General features: G+C 42.9%; 1 annotated feature.

The window, feature by feature from the left end:
* Positions 1,241-1,535: a silencer, noted in NCBI's record as "tiled region #1125; HepG2 Repressive non-DNase unmatched - State 22:ReprW". NCBI's record gives its function as "represses a minimal TATA promoter and a strong SV40 promoter by Sharpr-MPRA in HepG2 cells {active_cell/tissue: HepG2}" and the evidence as "EXISTENCE:reporter gene assay evidence [ECO:0000049][PMID:27701403]".

Genomic DNA, 21,372 nt, shown 5'->3' with positions numbered 1-21,372 from the left:
AAAGTGTTGAGATTACAGGCATGAGCCACCACGCCCAGCTCAAGATTCTTACTTAAAGGGAAACTCTACTAGTGTTTGTTTCAGATGATAACTCCTTTGCTAGGGAAAGACTGTTTGGAGCAAAAGGAAGCACAGAAACTCATCATTGAAAGTGTTCATTTTGGGCCAGGCACAGTGGCTCAGTCCTATAATCCCAGCACTTTGGGATGCCCAGGTGTGCGAATCACTTGAGGTCAGAAGTTTGAGACCAGCCTGGCCAACATGGTGAAATCCTGTCTTTACTAAAAATACAAAAATTAGCCGGGCATGGTGGCGGGCACCTGCAATCCCAGCTACTCGGGAGGCTGAGACAGGAGAATCACTTGAACCCGGGAGGCAGAGGTTGCAGTGAGCCAAGATCATGTCATTGCACTCCAGCCTGGTGACAGAGTGAGACTCAGTCTCAAAAAAAAAAAAAAAAAAAAAAAAAGAAAATGTGCATTTTAAAAACATTTGGGCCTGGGCGTGGTGGCTCACGCCTGTAATCCCAGCACTTTGGGAGGCCAAGGCGGGCGGATCACAAAGTCAAGAGATCGAGACCATCGTGGTCAACATGGTGAAACCCTGTCTCTACTAAAAATACAAAAAATTAGCTGGGTGTGGTGGCGGGCGCCTGTAGTCCCAGCTACTCTCGGGAGGCTGGGGCAGGAGAATTGCTTGAACCCGGGAGGCGGAGGTTGCAGCGAGCCGAGATTGCGACACTGCACTCCAGCCTGGCGACAGAGTGAGACTCTGTCTCAAAAAAAAAAAAATTGGATCGTATTTAATATTGTATTACACTGCTTTCTTGTTGCTCCAGATCCTTTTTGAAACAAGGCAACGTATAACTAAATCAATAGTGAGGTCACATTAAAAAAAAACTCCAGGCCAGGCGCAGTGTCTCACACCTGTAATACCATCACTTTCGGAGGCCGAAGCAGGTGGATCATGAGGTCAAGAGATCAAGACGATCCCGGCCAACATGGTGAAACCCCGACTCTACTAAAAATACAAAAATGAGCTGGACGTGGTGGTGGGAGCCTGTAGTTCCAGCTACTCTGGAGGCTGAGGCAGGAGAATTGCTTGAACCCAGGAGGCAGAGGTTGCAGTGAGCCAAGACTGCGCCACTGCACTCCAGCCTGGGCGACAGAGAAAGACTCCGTCTCAAACAAACAAACAAACAAACACCCTTCACAACAGTACTGTGAGATAGGCATTATGATCCCCATTTACAAATGGAAACAGTGAGACCCCGAGGGGTTAGGTGACTTGCCCAAGCTGACACAGCCAAGTGCAGGGCCAGCCTTTCCCTCACTGTGCCACCTAGAGGAGTTGAATCAGTCAAGCCACTGAATTTCTGACATTATACTAACTGTAGGGAGGATATAGAGAGCATTCTAGGAATTCCCTGTGCTCAAAGTGGAGAGACAAGACACACATGGGGAAATGAGTTAAGGAGAGAAGAAATGTTTCAAAGTGGTAGAATTGGAAAGACAGGGAAAACAGTTCTCAAGTGTCAATGGGAAAGTCACATTCTATGCAAATAAAAGGGCTTTGTGCATGAAGTACTCTGTGAAACAGGCTGACCAAACAGAGGAAGCCAGAAGCGAGAGGCTGCTGCCCTGCTCAGCCCCACAACACCATCCAGCAATGAGCTGAACTCTCATGCACAGAATCCTTCATTGCCACAAAACATCTCTTCTTTTTCTTTTTTTCCAGGGTGTGTGTGTGTGTGTTTCATTATGATTTTGATTGAGGACTGGGGAATTGATGCCCTGCAACTCTTCTCTTCAGCATTCTCATCGCTTTAATTTGTTGAGCCGCCTAATTACCTAAATACTTCTGGCCAACAAGCAGAATGGGGATGTTGGGGCTGCTGTATCACCTTCCTCCTCTTTCCCCAGTAGTGCCGTCCCCATCTCAATTCAAAAGGCCTAGCAGCTTCCGTCGGAGTGTAGCAGCTCCATTTCCCTCCAATATTAATAATTATGACATTAGAAGGGTGATCTGCGGCAATTCAGCCTTTCTATTTGCAGGCTGGCGGCTGCATATCAATGGCATGATTAGGCAAATGAAATCAGATTGGCACTGTTATGAAATATTTACATGGCCAGAATGCATATGCTTCAATCTCATTGTTCCCATTATTAAGCCATTTTATAATCTCATAACATTTAGACTCACACTTTGCATTTCTAATTAACTTGAGGAGTGACTTCGCTGGGAATTAATTGCAACTTGTGCATTCTTATACACACAAACTCACCGAGAAACAAACTCTGGTTGGCAATCATGCAATTCACCCCCAAGATGGACTCCAGGTTGACTTCTGTTCTAAACCAGCCTCACTGTCAGTTGGGAAAAGTGGCTGGGGACTTGGTTTTCATTAAAATTTGGCTACAAATCACATGCAGGATCAGTCTGAGCGCAAGGGTTCCTTTGGAGAGACTCATTCCCACCTGAACAGCCTTTCACAAAGAACCAGTTCAATGCAGACCGATGGTTTTTTTTTTGTTGTTGTTGCTTGTTTGTTTTGAGACAGAGTTGCTCTGTCACCCAGGCTGGAGTGCAGTGGCACGATCTCGGCTCACTGCAAACTCCACCTCCCGGATTTAAGTGATTCTCCTGACTCAGCCTCCTGAGTTTCTGGGATTACAGCCATGCGCCACCACACCCGGCTAATTTTTGTATTTTCAGCAAAGACGGGATTTCACCATGTTGGCCAGGCTGGCCTCAAACTCCTGACCTCAAGTGATCGGCCCACCTCGGCCTCCTAAAGTGCTGGGATTATAGGTGTGAGCTACCACGTTTGGCCAGGACAATGGTTTTCAGATGTTTGGATTTCATGGATCAATAACATCTCTATAATAATAATAATGACGTAAAGATTTGGGATATCTAAATAGCTTTTATTTTAAGCTACTATATTGCCTTTATTTAAAATTACTTCTGTATGAACAGTGTGGTGTATCTCTCACACTTCAGGGTGGGTTAGTTAGCATTTGAGTGTCTCTAATCAAAAGTCCATACCCTTGAAGTGGCTGCTATCAGGCACTTTAATAATCTTTATTTCCTATTAACACCAGAGTCTTGTTAATGTGCACAATTGGTGTTAGAAAGGATTTTTTACTGGTGAAATGAATGGTATTCAAGATATATGGATTGGTTAGAAATATTGACAAGGTACTAGTGAATGAACAGGGAATTTGCTTCCCTGTGGCCTAGTGGCCTAACCTTTCGAAATAGTGCCCTAGGCTTAGAATTTTGCCTGGTCATGTTTTAGGAAGCTTATACAGGATTTGATTGCCTGGCTCTAAATAAGAAAGGATCTGAAGTCACTGCAAGTGAACCTTGCTTGCCAGATACTTGCAAGTTAGTAGTTCTCAACTGGGGACAATTTTGCTTTCCCCACCAACCCTTCCTGGGGGGCATTTGCAGTGGTCTGGAAACATTTTTGGTTGTCACAATTATAAGCATGTATGTGTGTGAGTATGTAGTGGGTAGAAGCCAGAGATACTGCTAAACATCCCACAATGCACAAGACAGCCCCCACAACAACAACAAAAATGGCCCATTCCAAAATGTCAAGAGTGCCAAGGTTTAGAAACCATGGGAAAGGACACAGCTTCAACTTCACTGAGCTCACAGAACTAATTGCTAATGTTTGTGTGTGTGGCTGACTTTAGGCTGCGCCTCTTTCTCTGTAAATAGACAACTGGACAAGAAGTTGTGGAGAAGTTCATTCCTTTTCTATCTCCACTCTTGGAGGTTACTAACAGCTATCAAAAAGAATCCAAAGATTAAAAGAAAAGTTGAGAAAGAAAAAAGAATACAATATTTCTACATAATCAAGTTGTCTCGAGTAATTTCAAATAGTAGTGTAGGTTTCAGGGTTTTTTTGTGGAAACCTTAAATTTTATTAATTTCAGACTTTAAAAATAAACAACCAGGCCCCACGTGCTTTCACACATTGCTCTCTCGTTTGAAGCCACCATAATCCTTTGAGGCAGCATTATTCCCATCTTACAGAAGAAAACTAGGCTTTCATGACTTGCCAGAGGTTACATGGCTAATATGTGTTTTCCAGTATCTTAACTCAGCTCTCTGCTTCTAAGACTTCAGAGGGGAAACATTTCTGCCATGATTTTTTTTTCTTTTCTTTTCTTTTGAGACAGTCTTGCTGTGTCACCTGGGCTGAGTACAGTGGCTAGATGTCAGCTCACTGCCACCTCTGCCTCCTGGGTTCAAGTGATTCTCCTGCCTCAGCCTCCCCAGTAGCTGGAACTACAGGTGCGCACCACCACGCCTGGCTAGTTTTTGTATTTTCAGTAGAAACAGGGTTTCATCATGTTGGCCAGGCTGGTCTCGAACTCCTGACCTCAAGTGATCTGTCTGCCTCAGCTTCCCAAAGTGCTGGGACTGCGTGTGGCCTGCTATGATTTAACTAAAGGGCTTTGAACGTGTTCCCACCCTATGTCTGATGGATCATAAGATGAAATGGTCCTTAATGGATCATCTGGTCTAGAAATTCTCAAACTTAGACATTAAAGATCAATAACCTTTTAAAAATAATTATATACTTTTATTTTTCCATAGAAAAAAAGTTTTCAAAACCTCCTACCATTTACTTTCAATACCATTTCATTAAAAAAAGGATATTTTAATCCAGGAAAATAGAAAGGAAATAATTTTTCCTTCATTCATTCAACAAATATTGATTGAGTGCCTCTTACATACAGGTATTCTTCTGGGTATTGGAAAACAGAGAACAAGAATATCATCAAAGTCCTTACCCTCTTGGAGCTTACATTCCAACACTATCATCTCAGAAGAAAAGCCCTTTAAATGAAATAAATTAAACTCGAGAGATTCTTTACAGTGTCCTTATTGTTCTCATTTAATTAATAAAAACCTTGTCATGTGTCAGCATTGGTCCATAGACCACCATTTGGGAACTCTGGATCTAGCTGATTTCCAGGGAAAGCATACATCATTATTCTCGCACGGGCTACAACCACGACCAATGATATGAAAAACCATCGTTGTATTTCAGAACAACGAAGTTATCACAGATGGAAGGAAATCAGAACAAAATTTGGATGCAATCTGGATTCTCCTAGGGACAAGAGTTGGTGGCCTAGGTGAGAAATGAATTGTACTATTTACTGTGCACCTCGGGGTAATCTCAGTTGTATTTCTGTGAGTTCCACTTCTGGCTCTTTGGTTCAACAGGTAAAGTGGCATTTTCTAAATCACCTTGCTTTGCCTGCTTTTTCTCCACCTCACTGGTAAGGCTGGAAATGTTCCCAAACACCCTTTGATCTGGCAATCATTGCAGCTCATTAGCAGGCCTGGGAGGCTAAGTTCATTCCACACAGAGGGAAACTGAGCTGCAGGAGGTCACCTGGGAAGGCAGCAATGGCTTGAGGACCAAAACCCAGCTCTTCTGCCTCTATCCATGGATCTGCTCATTGGACAACTCAGAGTAATGCCTGTTCAGAGTAGTAAAGGCCAGAAGTATATTCTCCATGGCCCCACAAGAGCAACCTTGCTTGGATTTCCCCCTAGATTATTTGAGTTCCAACTCTTCAAAATCACCCTTCCCATTTTGCCCAAAGTATGTGCCCCTGGGAGTTCAGGGCAACAAGTTTGCATGGCTAATAACTCTTCCTTCCTGAGCTGCCCAGCAGGCTTAGAAATGGAAATAAAATGTTCAAACACTGAGAGATTATACCAGAGAAAGAGCTCAAGAAAGAGGTAAGAGTGGTCAGGTATGGTGGCTCATGCCTCTAATCCCAGCACTTTGGGAGGCCGAGGCAGGCGAATCACTTGAGGTCAGGAGTTTGAGACCAGCTGGCCAACATGGTAAAACCCTGACTCTACTAAAAATACAAAAATTAGCCATGCATGGTGGCGGGCACCTGTAATCCCAGCTACTCAGGAGGCTGAAGCAGGAGAATCACTTGATCCCGGGAGTCGGAGTTTGCGGCAAGCTGAGATCACGCCCCTGCACTCCAGCCTGGGCAACAGAGCGAGACTCCGTCTCAAAAAAAAAAAAAAAGGTAAGAGCAAGGTGGGAGCAGCCGGAGCTCTGGTAGGAGTTGAAGGTCAAGGCTAGAAGACTGTCCTGTTAGCTCTCCCGGCCACCAAGATCCTGAATGTGAAAATGAGAAGACAGGATCCTTGTCCTACTTTAACAGCCTTCTCTACTCTGTCTGAATATGGTGAATTAGTTTTGTTTTACAGAAAGGGAATTCTGGCTGGCTGGGACCCTTAAAAGACATCATGTGTCTCCCTTGGCCTCCGGGCAGGGGTGTGTTTGCATCACTGCCGGTGCCTCCACTTCCTTTGTCCAGAGCTGTACAGACTGGCTCTTCCATCTAAATGCCTGCTTTTAATCATGACCTTCCCAACTCACCTCCTGTGGCTGGCTGTGGTACATTCGCAAATCTGACCTTGATAATGCATTCAATTTTCTTCATTCATGAGGGAATTCTACCTCAATCACTATTCTACTACAAAGAAGGAGGGCAACTAAGTGATAATAAAAACAGTGGCTAATGCCAACATCTTTCTGTTTGGCACTTGAAGGGATGCACTCTCTGTTAGTCTGTTCTCGCATTGCTGTAAAGAAATACCTGAGACTGGGTAATTTATGAAGAAATGAGGTTTAATGGCTTATGGTTCTGCAGGCTGTACAGGAGGCATAGCAGCTTCCGCTTCTAAGGAGGCCTCAGGAAGCTTCCAATCATGGCGGAAGGCAAAGGGCGAGCAGGTATTTCACATGGCAGGAGCAGGAGCAAGGTTGCTGGGGGAGGAGGTGCCACACTTTTAAGTGACCAGATCTCAGGAGAACTCACTATTGCAATGACAGTACCAAGGGGGATAGTGCTAAACCATCCATGAGAAATCTACCCCCATGTACCAATCACCTCCCACTGGGACCCACCTCCAACATTAGGGATTATAGTTTGACATGAGATTTGGGCAGGGACATGGATCCAAACCATATCATACTCTTTTTTTTTTTTTTTTTTTTTTTGAGATGGAGTCTGGCTCTGTTGCTCAGGTTGAACTACAGTGGTATGATCTCAGCTCACTGTGACCTCTGCCTCCTGGGTTCAAGTGATTCTCCTGCCTCAGCCTCCTGAGTAGCTGGGATTACAGGTGTGAGCCACCACGCCTGCCTAATTTTTGTATTTTTAGTGGAGACAGGGTTTCACCATGTTGGCCAGGCTGGTCTCAAACTCCTGCCCTAGTGATCTGCCCACCTCGGCCTCCCAAAGTGCTGGGATTACAGGCATGAGCCATTGCATCTGGCTGTTTTGTTTTCTTAATATTGGAAGGGCTTTTCTGTGGCAGTGAGCTTTCTTCCATGAGTTCAGAGATCTGAATAGGAATCAGCAGTAGAGGTTTCATGGAAGTAAATTGAGGCGTCCAATGAGGAAGACATTAAACTGTCTTAGATGTGGTTTTTGATGTGAGGCCAACTTTGGGTAGACGCTGGGCCAGATATCTTTTAAGGCCCCTTTATGCTATAATATTATATTGTGTGTGTGTGTGTGTGTGTGTGCGTGCGCATGCATGTGTTATATACAATATAGGCTCTCCTGTACCCAGGAAGGTTTTTGTTTTTTAATGGGGAGAATGTGGCCAAGATCATCCTCTGCAAGTGCAGTACTTGAGGGAATGTGAATGTGGTCCACATGGAGATGCACACGTAAAGATACATGAGCACATAGCGGCAGTATTGCCTAATTTTTATTAAGCACTTACCACATGCCAGATGCTGCCCTAAGCACTTTCCACGCATTGTCTCATTTAAAACTCCCAGCCATCCTGTGAGGAGGTAGGGGCCATTTATTAATGTCCTCATTGTACAGATAAGACAGAGGCTCTAAGAGGTCACAGAGAATATGCCCAAGGGCATATAGCTCAGTAGAGTTGGAAGGTATATTCTGGAGTGTCTGATGATCAGCTTCATTAAGGAGAATGCATGATCTGTATTCAAACACAGACACACATTCTAAGACTATACAGGTGTTAGAGACCAGTGTCAAAGGGCAGAGCCACATAAATACCTGCAGCCACCCAATTCAACCACTCCTCATCCCATGATGGGACTGGAGAAGGGGGAGTTCAGCTTCTCCTCTAAATGAAGGCCTCTTCTTGTCTCCTTTAAGATCCACTTGCCTCCTTCATGACCAGGAGCTTAGGGGCCCATGGTGATACAGGATCATGACATCCACCTGGGCTTCTCTTACCATGGTCCATCATGGGATGACCTCAGGTTATCCTCAGGTTTTTTTTTTTTTTTTTTTTGAGATGGAGTTTCACTCTTGTTGCCCACGCTGGAGTGCAATGGCATGCTCTTGGCTCACTGCAGCCTCTGCCTCCCAGATTCAAGAGATTCTCCTGCCTCAGCTTCCCGAGTAGCTGGAATTACAGGGGTCTGCCACCACGTCTGGCTAATTTTTTGTATTTTTAGTAGAGACAGTGTTTCACCATGTTGGCCAGGCTGATCTCGAACTCCTGACCTCAGGTGATCCAGCCCCCTCGGCCTTCCAGAGTGCTGGGATTACAGGGGCGACCCGCCACGCCGGCCTATCCTCGGGTGTTTTAGTTGAAGCAAATCAAATTTCCTGTGACTTAAGACTTACAATAATTCTTCCCACTATTTGTTCATTTTGTGTGTGTACATATACGTGCATGCGAGTCTTCGGTTTTGTTTTCCTAATGAATGACGTTGGTGTTGGAGTCGCTGGGCTCCTTTCAGCAGGCAGGAGCCTCCAGGTGAACAAGGATGGCTAAATGAGAGGACATGCTTTTCATAATTTGTCTTCAAACAATCGCTTAATGCATGCAGGAAATTTCTGCGAAATGGGTGAATAGCATGGGTACATTTTGATCAGCCCCTCAACGAAGTAAAGCCCACTGGCTTTTAAGACCCAGGCAGCAAACAAAAAGTGGTCTTTATCCTCACACACCAAATCTGTGCGTCAGTAAAGTGCAGGCCCTGACAGGAATTTCAATTATTTAATCAAAAAGAAAATGAAAGAGGCTTTAAGTGTTGTGATTCGAAGACAGCCTTTTCATAGACCAATCTAGGGTGCGCTCACATTGAATTTGAAGCAAAATGGGAAGGAAATTAAGGCAGCTTCGGTTTAAGTCATGTGATTGCAAATAGTAAATTAGTTTCTCGATGTTTTCATTTAAGTGTTTAAGTGGAAGGTTTTATTCCTAATGTAGTGTAGTGACACAGAAGAGAACCCTTGGCGACTCCAGCTTCCCCACCCTTACATCAGTGATGCATTTGCCCTGGGGAGGGAGAGGGAGGAAGAGAGGCTGAGATGGAAAGAGAACGGGAAGCAAAGCCTCAGTCACGTTAAGGTGCTTTTGTTTCAAATTGCTACCAAAGTACGCTTTCGCAGCAAACTCATTAATAGAGCAGATGAGTAACGTCTGTTGAAAATGTACTAAGCGAAAGGCATTTAATTTGGAAGGGAAATCAGGAGCTGCATTAGTCAGAGCTTATAAATGGCAACATCATCCATTTGGCTGTTGTTTTGTTTGATGTAGACTCACTGAATTTGTTCTTAAGGGATAAGGGTTAGGTAAAATGGTCAACATTGCGCTTGAGACTCTGCCTTTCAAAGGCTTCTGGGTAGTTTTGCTGGGGCTGGAACTACAGCCTGCTGTTGTGGTGGGAGCAGGGTCAAAGGAATCTCTTGGGAAAGTGCTAATTGGGTTGGACTGAGACGGCCTCTGACTGGTGCAACAAGTAGCTGGAGGTCATTTCTTTGCAAATGAGCATCCCTTTGCGTTTTTAATTAGCTTTGATTTATTTGGCTGGGAGCTTACGGCGGTGCATAGCAGGAGGTCAGGCTCCCATCAGGTGCATAGCAGGAGGTTCACCCATCGACGAATAGCGAGTGGACTTAATATCAAATTAAGCAATGAGGCCTGGTATCTCTGAGAGTTAGATTTGCCAGGTTCCCTTCTGCAGCCCACAGTGGGAGGGGAGTATTATATATTTTGAGACGGAGTCTCACTCTATCGCCCAGGCTGGAGTGCAGTCGCGTGATCTCGGCTCATTACAACCTCTGCCTCCCGGGTTCAGGTGATCCTCCTGCCTCACCCTCCCGAGTAGCTGGGACTACAGGCACGTGCCACCATGCCTGGCTAATTTTTTGTATTTTTAATAGAGATGGGGTTTCACCATGTGGCCAGGCTGGTCTCAAACTCCCGACCTCAGGTGATCTGCCCACCTCGGTCTCCCAAAGTGCTGGGATTACAGGCATGAGCCACCCTGCCTGGCTGGGGAGTGTGTTTGTAAACTGGCAACTGTCTTGATCCTTCTATAGTTACCAGTGCTTGGCTCTGTCAACGCACATTGCAGTTCTATTCGTCTGAGTGTCACCTTTGCCATGAACTATTCTTTGCCCACCTCAGGCCAAGAGATCTTTTTTTTCTCTAGACTTCTAGAAACTTTTTGGTCTGTGTTACTTTCTGGGCACAGAGTGCTGATCATACACTCACTTTTGCCCTTGTTCAACTTTCTTTCCAGCTTGAGTAGTATTTTCACTCCTTTCTTTTTCTTTTAATTTGCATGGTTGGGAACTTCCAACAAATAGAAAAACAAAGAAAATAGTATAAGGAATGCCCACGTATCTATCACCAAAATTTAAGTTATTATTAACCTTTTGTCATATTTATTGTTACACCCCCTGAGGTTTACTTACAGTAAATTCTGATTTCAAGAACTTTCACTTTAATTACTTAAGAATGCATATTTATTTATTTATTTATTTATTTATTTATTTATGAGACAGGGTCTCACCCTGTCTCCAAGGCTGGAGTGCAGTGAGTGCGATCTTGGCTCACTACAGTCTCAACCTCCTGGGCTGAAGCAATCCTCCCACCTTAGCCTCTTGAGTAGCCGGCACTACAGGCGTCTGCTACCACACCTGGCTAATTTGTTTAATGTTTTGTAGAGACGAGGTCTCACTATCTTACCCAGGCTGTTCTTGAACTCCTGAGCTCAAGCGATTCTCCCACCTTGGACCCCCAAAGTGCTAGGATTACAGGCATGAGTCACTGCACCCCGCCACACCTCTGTTTTTGGACATTTCCCCTATATAACCACAATGTCATTATCACATCTAACAAAATTAACAATGGTTCCTTAACATCATTTAATACCCAGTCCATATACAAATTTATTCATTTTTCAAAAGTATCTTTTATGGTTGGTCTGTTCAAATCAGTATCCGATCAAGGACCACAAATAGTGTTTAATTTTGTCTAAGTCTTTAGTCATCATTTAATTTTTAAAAATTTTCCTAGGCCGGGTGCGGTGGCTCATGCCTGTAATCCCAGCACTTTGGGAGACTGAGGCAGGTGGATCATCTGAGGCCAGGAGTTCAAGACCAGCCTGACCAACATGGTGAAACCCCGTCTCCACTAAAAATACAAAATCAGGTGACGTGGTAGCACATGCCCGTAATCCCAGCTACTTGGGGGTGCTGAGACAGGAGAATCACTTGAACCCAGGAGGCAGAGGTTGCAGTGAGCTGAGATCACGCCACTGCACTCCGGCCAGGGTGACAGAGTGAGACTCAGTCTCTAAAAAAAATAAATAAAATTTCCTATTAACATTGCCTCGTTGAGGGAAATGGGGAATTGCCTCCACAGACTGTTGGACCTTTTGGATTTGTCTGACAGTTTCCATGCAGCGTAGTTTAGCTTGCTCTTCTATCTTTTTTCTTTTCTGTAACTTGAAGTTAGGTCTAAACCTGATTGGATTCAGATTAAACATTTTGGTACCAATACTTTACAAGTACTTCAGGTAGCAGGACAACAGGGGGCATGCATAATGTTTAGTTGTCTCACCATTCGCGACACCAATATCCATTACTGGGTTAAAGTGGGGACAGCCTGGTCGCCCTCTATAAAAGTGATACTTTCTTTTTTATAAACAGCAAGTAATCTGTAGGGTGATAATTTGACACTGAGAAAAAATTCAGTTTCCCCCATTTCACAGCCAAAATCAAATTAGGGCCAGGGATCCTGCATTAGAGAGCTTTCTATTTTCTGCAGCACCTAATAGTGCAAGATATACGGTAACATTCGGTAAATACTGGTTGAAGGGTGAATGAATGAATGCAAAATGTTTTGAGTGACTAAATTTAAAAATTTAATATAATAAGAAACTCTGCAAACTCTTTCTTTCTTTCTTTCTTTCTTTCTTTCTTTCTTTCTTTCTTTCTTTCTTTCTTTTTTTTGAGACAGACTCTCACTCTGTCACCTAGGCTGGAGTGCAGTGACGCGATCTTGGCTCACTGCAACATCTGCCTCCTGGGTTCGAGTGATTCTCCTGCCTCAGCTTCCCAAGTAGCTGGGATTACAGGAACCTGCCACCATGCCCAGCTAATTTTTGTATTTCAGTAGAGATGGGGTTTCACCATGTTGGCCAGGCTGGTCTCAAACTCCTGACCTCAAGAGATCCACCTGCCTCGGCCTCCCAAAGTGTTAGGATTACAGGCGTGAGCCACCACACCCGGCCTGCAAACCTACTTTTGATTGATACATTTGTGAAAGTTCCAGCACCTTTGGAAATCAAGAAATGCTAACATTTCAATGGATGTGAGAAGATTCAGGTTTCCTAACTTCAGCTTTGTTCCTAATTTCCTGTGTGACTTTGGACAAATCCCTTGCCTTTTCTGGAACCTACTTGTACCATAAGGAATACAAAAAGGAAAAATCTCCAAGATGCTACCAGCTTTGGCATTCTAGGATTCCAAAAAACACCCCAAATAACTGTATAAACCAGATAGTTGGAGCCTGCAGATCCTAAGACCACTTGAACCTCGGTTTTTCCTGTGCACTATAGCCTTTTGGTGTTTAATAAGCTTAAAGGTTGTCATAGCAACCACCCTCCCCACAGCTTGTTATCTGATAACCAGCCATTCCATCTCCATCGCCGCCTAGGATTTCTGCCCCATTTGATATTGAATTGGAAAGGTGACCAGAGATTGATTAGCCTTCATGTCATTTTATAGATGATGGAAAACACTTGCTTCTTTCCCAAGCAAAGTAAAATCTTCTAGGCTGGATCATTTGAGTGGCTATTTCACCTTTGCATTTATTTATTTATTCTCTCATTCACTCGGTTAGTCGGTATTTATTGAGACTTTACCATGTGCCAGACATTGCGCTAGATGCTTGGGATATACTTGGTCGTCTTTACGTAGAGTTTGCAGTCTAAACAGGAAGACAATTAAAGAGGTAGTTATAGTACAGTGAAAAAAAACATGATGATATCAGAAGTGTATGGTAACGCGGAGGAATGGCACCTAGCTGATCTGGTGGCATCAAGGAAGGCTTCTAGAAAGGAGTGATTTTTTTTTTTCCTTTTAGAAGTGATGTTTTAGCCGAAAACTGTGTAGAAGCAAGCCAGTGTTAGAGTGAGAGGTAGCTAGAACAGTAAATATTCCTGGAAGAGGGGGAAGCATATACTACGTAAGACTCAAAGATGAGAGATAATATGATATATGAAAGAGTTTAGAGCACTGGAAAACTACTAAAGGCTTTTAAAAATTATTGTAGTAAAATGTACATAACATACTACCAAAGGATCTTAAGCATGGACTGATATAATCAGATTTGCATTTTTCAATGATCCCTCTGGCTAGTGAAGGAAGAATTGAAGGGAGTGGCAAAAGAGGAACAGAGAGACTGATGGCACTTAAGATCATGCCATTATCATGAGGTTTAAAAGCCTTGGCCAGGCGCGGTGGCTCACGCCTTGTAATCCCAGCACTTTGGGAGGCCGAGGTGGGTAGATCATGAGGTCAGGAGTTCGAGACCAGCCTGGCCAAGATGGTGAAACCCAGTCTCTACTAAAAAATACAAAAATTAGTCAGGCGCGGTGGCAGGCACCTGTAATCCCAGCTACTTGGCGGGGCTGAGGCAGGAGAATTGCTTGAATCTGGGAGGTGGAGGTTGCAGTGAGCCAAGATCACACCACTGCACTCTAGCCTGGGCAACAGAGCCAGACTCCGTCTCAAAAAAAAAAAAAAAAAGCCTTAAAAGCAGAGGCCATATTGTGTTTATATCTTCTCAGCTAATAGTGCTATGGCTGACATCCATAGAAAGTGACTAATAAATACTTGTTGAATTAATGAAAGAATGGTTTGTTTGTTGAATGGACTTACATCTGGAAACACCAATAATTTACTTTCTGGATTTTCCAGTGACTTTCCTCCAATTCCTAATGCATAGAGACTCAGATAAAATTTCCTAAAACTACCATTCATGGCTACAACTCTGCTCAAAACAAACCTTCATTGGCCTCTACCCCCACTTTATTGTCCTCAATATTAAGAACAATCTTCTAACTATTTTTCAAAATACTCATTAATAAGATCCTGAGCACACTTCCAAATACTTCTCAAAGTATCCCGTCTACTTAATCTAATCTCAGTATCCTACAAATATGCCATGTTCTATCCCACCTCTGAGCACTTGTGCATGCTATTCTTAGCTGGAACAGTTTCATCAACTTGCATTTCACCTGCCCAGATTCTACCAATCCTTGATGGTCCAGCTGTAGTCCCATATCCTGCGTGAAGCCATTACTCGCTCATTATGTTTGATAGATAACTTAAATAAAAATGTATTAAAACTAAAGCAATAGGAGTAGTTTACGTAAATTATTAGTCAAAATGTGGGTCTGTAGAAAAAGCCCAGTCTCTGGACCTGTGCAAGCCTGGATTTCAATATCTTTTCTGCCACTTGCCAGCTGTGTAGCCTTGTGAGTCTCCTCTCTGAGCTTTAGTTTCCTGAAATGCAAAACTGAACTAACTACATTTACTTTGCAGTGTGGATTAAGGAGAACATAATTAAAGGACCTAATACAATGCCCATTGTGAGTAAGTGCTGAAAACTATTATTCTTTTTTTTTGAGGTGGAGTTTCACTCTTGTAGCCCAGCCTCCAGTGCAATGGCGTGATCTTGGCTCACTGCAACCTCCACCTCCTTGGTTCAAGCGATTCTCCTGCCTTAGCCTCCCAAGTACCTGAGATTACAAGCGTGCGCCACCACGCCCAGCTAATTTTTGTATTTTTAGTAGAGACAGGGTTTCACCACATCGGCCAGGCTGGTCTCAAACTCCTGACTTCAAGTGATCCACCCACCTCAGCCTCCCAAAGTGCGGGGATTACAGGCATGAACCACCTTGCCCAGCCGAAGCTATTTTTCTTAGTAATAACATTTTCATCTTGCTGGATAGTTTTCACAGCTGTTTTGCATATTTTCATCACAAAATAGTCCCCACAATAGGCCTCTGAGGTAGATGACATCCCCATTTTGCAGATAATAACTAAGGCTCACAAGCGTTAAGTAACCTAGAAAAACAAGAGTGTTCTTAGATCATCTGCATGAGAATTATCTGGGACTCACTAATATACCACAGATAGGAGTATACATTGATATTACCCCTGTAGAGAACAGTTTGGCAATGCCTATCAAAATTACAAATTTGATTCAGCAATTAATCTTCTAAGAATTCCTACAGATATAGTTGCCCATTTCCAAAATGAATTATGTATATGATGATTTATTACAGCATTGTTTGCAATAGCAAAAGATTAGAAACATTCTAAGTATCTTATTATCATCAAATGGGGACTAGTTAATAGATCATGATCCATCCATTTTTTAAAAGTTGTTAAGAAAAAAAGCAATGTGCAAAAGACTACTCAGTATATTATCCTTTATGTAAAAAGACGTAGAAAGAATGTGCATATGTGTGAGGAATATATACTTATACACATACAGCTGTCCCTCATTATCTGCTTAAATATAATTATAATATCTCCAGAAAGATACCAAGAAAATGATAACAATGGTTGCCTCCAAAAGGTGAATTGGGTGGCTGGAAGAGAGGGAAAGGGGAAGATACATCACTTCATAACTTTTTTTTTTTTTTTTTTGTGAGACAGAGTCTTGCTCTGTCGCCCAGGCTGGAGTGCAGTGGCGCAATCTTGGCTCACTGCAACCTCTGCCTCCCGGGTTCAAGTGATTCTCCTGCCTCAGCCTCTAGAGTAGCTGGAACTACAGGCTCCTGCCACAACGCCCAGCTCATTTTTGTATTTTTAGTAGAGATGGGGTTTCACCATGTTGGCCGGGCTGATCTCAAACTCCTGACGTCCTGATCTGCCTGCCTCAGCCTCCCAAAGTGCTGGGATTACAAGCATAAGCCACCGTGCCTGGCCCACTTCATGACTTTTTATAACTTTTGACTTTTGAATTATGTGAATATATTACCCATAGAGGCAATAATGCATGCTCTAGTTGGGAAAACAGAACATGGTTATAAAAAGAGAAAACCTATCAATGCCAAAGCCCAGTGAGTTGTACATTTGCTAATACGATGATGGTTAAGTACTGTGGCCAGGAGTGGTTTTCCAAGGACGAAGGGAATATAGTGGATCTAGATTTGAATGGAAGTTATCTGTGTAGAAGGAGAGGTGATAGGGAAGATATTTCTAGGAAGAAGACACATGAAAGCAACCTGTAAAAAATAGAGCTTTGAAAGGCTAAGACTCCAGAATACAAAATGGAGGTCATATTTTAGTTCAGTTTTGAAGAGCTTTTCCCAAACTTGCCAGCCCATTGTTTCTTTTTTACTCCATAAAACCACATGGTATTAAAAAACAATAGCAACATAGGGTATTGCCACACCATCCCAAGGAGCTGCTCACTTTCCAGCCAACAGAGAAAGATCTGGCAACCCACACTAAATTATTCTTTTACCTGGGACTGTCAAATACTACTGCAGTCAATCATAGATGTATTTGTGTGTCAATTTTGAGAGAGTTCGATATTGTGTACTGGAAAATATTAAAACAGTAGATAAAATTAGACCCTTGGCCTAAATGTGGAAGTAAAATACACACACTTGTGAGAAAAAACTTCCAAATGCATACTCACTTTTTTACAAAAGGTACATGTTTAATAAATGTTTTCAGATATGAGTGCATAAACCATAGAGCTCTTGGATTCACCATTTCCCACTATTATTTCATATCTGAATTACAAAGATAACCGAGTCTGTATCACTTTAGTGATGAATTATTTTACTGATTAAGTGCACAGAGAAGCCCTGGTTTGTTTATTTGTTTGTTATGCATTTCTGGCTGCATGTATTTAGGGTTGTGTGTGTATGTGTTCAGAGGTGATGGAAGGCTTGTACTTTTCTTTTTTTTTTTTTTGAGACGGAGTCTCGCTCTGTCGCCCAGGCTGGAGTGCAGTGGCGAGCTCTCGGCTCACTGCAAGCTCCGCCTCCCGGGTTCAGGCCATTCTCCTGCCTCAGCCTCCCGAGTAGCTGGGACTACAGGCGCAGGCTTGTACTTTTTTTATGTTTCCCTGTTCCCTGTACTTTTCCACCTTATCTCTCCAAACCACTTTACACAGAGCTTAGTACGTGGTAGACACTCAATGGTCTTTGCCTGATTCGTTTCCTGTCTCCCACATACCTAGAAGAAAACAGACGACGTTGATCTTCAAGTATTTTTTTTTTTTTCTTGAGACCGAGTCTCGCTCTGTCTCCAGGCTGGAGTGCAGTGGTATGATGTCGGCTCACTGCAACCTCCACCTCCCGGGTTCGAGCGATTCTCCTGCCTCAGCCTCCTGCGTAGCTGGGACTACAGGCATGCACCACCACACCCAGCTAATTTTTGTATTTTTAGTAGAGACGGGGTTTCACCATGTTGCCCAGGATGGTCTCCATCTCCTGACCTTGTGATCTGCCCGCCTCGGCCTCCCAAAGTGCTGGGATTACAGGCTTGAGCCACCGCACCCAGCCGATCTTCAAGTATTTTCTAACCTAATGTTTTCATCCTCTGGCTGGGGGAAGGTGGAAACACAAAAATTGAAGTCATCCAATGGGAAGATTCTTTTTTTTTTTTTTTTGAGACGGAGTTTCACTCTTGTCGCCCAGGCTGGAGTGCAATGACGCAGTGTTGGCTCACTGCAGCCTCCGCCTCCCAGGTTCAAGCGATTCTCCTGCTTCAGTCTCCCGAGAAGCTGGGGTTACAGGCGCCCACCACCCTGCCTGGATAATTTTTTTGTATTTTTAGTAGAGATGGGGTTTTGCCATGTTGGCCAGGTTGGTCTTGAACTCCTGGCCTCGGCCTCCCAAAGTGCTGGGATTACAGGCGTGAGCCACCGCGCTTGGCCTAGGAAGATGTTTAAAGTCATCTTTAAGGTATCTTCTAGACCTAAATAGAGATTCCTCACTCCTACCCAGGAAACACTCCTTATTGCTCATCATCACCTCCTTCTCAGTACTTTTTTTTCTTTCCGTGACTCTTTCTAGAATTATATAAGCCCATTTTTACATAGCAACATTACGTCAGATTCATTAATTAGTCATGTCCATGGTAGCTCTAGAGTTTCAGTATTGATCATTTGGGCTTGGTTTTTTTTTTTTTTTTTTTGAGACAGACTCTCAGTCTGCTGCCCAGGCTGGAGTGCAGTGGCGTGATCTCGGCTCACTGCAAGCTCCGCCTCCCAGGTTCACACCATTCTCCTGCCTCAGCCTCCCGAGTAGCTGGGACTACAGGTGCCCACCACCACGCCTGGCTAATTTTTTTGTAGAGACGGTGTTTCACTGTGCTAGCCAGGATGGTCTCGATCTCCTGACCTCGTGATCCACCTGCCTCGGCCTCCCAAAGTGCTGGGATTACAGGTGTGAACCACTGCACCCAGCCGGGTTTCTTTTTATATTGGCTAGTTAGGCCACCGTCACCACCATCACCACTACAAACACCATCATGGCCAAAACCATCACCACTACTATCATCACCACAACCACCATCACCATCACCACCACCAACACCACCATCACCACCACCACCATCACCACCACCACCACCATCACCATCACCACCACCACCATCATCACCACCACCACCACTACCACCACTACTACCATCATCACCACCACTATCATCACCAGCAGCAGCAGCAGCAACAACAGCAGTGGTGCTACTTATTGAGCGTTGGCTGTGTGCCAGGTGCTGAGCAAAATGCTTTACATACTTTACCTTAATTACTCCTCAAAACTATCCTGTGAGATAAGAAATGTTATTATATTCATTTTACAAATGAGGACAGCAGGCCTTAGAAAGGTTCAGATTTTCAAGGTCATATAGCTAATATATAATGGTGATGGAGCCAGATCTCTAACTTAGGTCTGACTGCAGACTTTGTTCTATCACCACTGGTAATATATACTGCCTTCATCGCGCTGATGTAAAGATGGTAAGGATGGATAGATAGACAGACAGACAGATACATCGATAGATAGATAGACAGACAGACAGACAGACAGACAGATAGATAGACAGACAAGTGTGTGTATCCGTGTGAGTAGAAAGGATTTTTTGAGGTTTTGACTTTGGAATGTATATTTATGTACACACGCACACACACACACGTATACACATACACATATCTATACCAAATATGTGCACACACAACACATTCCAAAGTGAAAACCTCAAAACAACTTTTCTAGCATTTAGGTTCTAGTTAGTGCAAGTCATGATATGAATTTATAAAACCATCCAATGAGAAGAAGAATTGGAGAGACTGGCCTCTTAAATCAAAGGCTATAGTTTCAAGTTGCATTCAAGATGAGAAATAAGCAAACTCTATTCTTGCTTTATTTGTTTATTTTTTAAAGATGATGTGGTGGAGTGAACAAAGTATGAACTCTGAGGTCAGATGAACCTGAGTTCAAATCCTGGCATAGAAACTGTGTAATCTGAAGCTCACGACTCTACCCAAGTGACTCCCCTGCTTCCTTTATCTGTAAAAATAGAAAAGTGATGATGATACTCAAATAAAAAGGCAAAGCAAAATATTTGATATATAATATAAATGCAAGAAATCCACCTCGTTTAAAAAGCCTCATCACAATAGTGAAAAGCATTCTTTAAAGACGTTTCTTTAGGTAATTAATAGATATTATCCATAATTTCTAGATGGGGGTTAGGTGTTAACTTTTTGAAACCACATATAATTTGTATGAAAGTAAACCGTTTGCGAGGCTGGGCATGGTGGCTCACTCCTGTAATCCCAGCACTTTGGGAGGCTGACTTGGGCGGATCACCTGAGGTCAGGAGTTCAAGACCAGCCTGGCCAACATGGAGAAACCCCGTCTGTACTAAAAAATATAAAAATTAGTCGGGTGTGGTGGTGCATGCCTGTAGTCCCAGCTACTCAGGAGGCTGAGACACGAGAATCATTTGAACCTGGGAGGCGGAGGTTGCAGTGAGCTGACATCGCGCCACTACATTCTAGCCCGGGCGACAGAGAGAAAGACTCGGTCTCAAAAAAACAAAACAAAACAAAACAAAACAAAACAAAAAAACAGTTGCATAATCTGTACTGAGAAATAAAAGTTTGATGTTCCTTATAGGCAAATGTCAAACAGAACTATGTGCAATTTGGGCTCAGTAACTTATGGAGAAAAGCTAAAGTTATAATTTTAAAATTTAGTGAATTTGATTTAGACATTTTTTGTGTTGAAGCAAAATCATTCTTTTTCCCTTTCTGCTTCAATGTTTGAAAATTTAATATTATTTATTTACAAATAAATATTACATTTACATGATTTGTACTCAAAAGGTACAAAAGGGTAAACAGGGAAAAAAACAATCTCCTTCTCATCAAGTGCCCAGCACTTCAGTCTCTAGAGGCAACTAATGTTGTGAGTTTCTTATGTATCTTTCCAGAGGTATGCATAGACAATCAAATGTGTATCATTTTCTCCCTCGTCAGACATATTACCTTTCTGTACTTTGCTTTTTCTGCTTAACAATACATCTTAAAGCTCCTTTTTTGAGTGTGTATAATTGAGCTGTGTTGTGCAGAGTATATATGTTGCATAAATTTCAATGTACATTTGTAATTTTGATAGACATTATCAAATTGTTCTCCATAGAGACTGTATAAATTTACATTCTTTGCATCAATAGATGAGAGTTATTCTTCCCCCCACAGATTTACCAACAGAGTGGGTAATTAGACTTTTCAGTCTTTTAATTCTGTAAATGAAAGATGTCTCAGTGAAGTTAAATTTGCGTTAGACTTATATTTGCTCCTTTTCAAATTTTTAAGAGTCCCTTATAGTTTCTTTTTTGTGAACTATTTCTTTTTATCCTTTGCCCATTTTAAAATCATGCTCTTCACTTTTTATCTTGTTGATTTGTAGAAACTTTTCATATATAACAAATTATCCCTGTGTTTGTGATGAACTGCAAATATTTTCTCCCGGTTTGT

The sequence above is a fragment of the Homo sapiens genome, chromosome 11 (genome assembly GCF_000001405.40).
Source record: "Homo sapiens chromosome 11, GRCh38.p14 Primary Assembly".
In the NCBI taxonomy this organism is placed as follows: Eukaryota; Metazoa; Chordata; class Mammalia; order Primates; family Hominidae; genus Homo; species Homo sapiens.
This window is presented reverse-complemented; position numbering and strand designations above follow the sequence as displayed.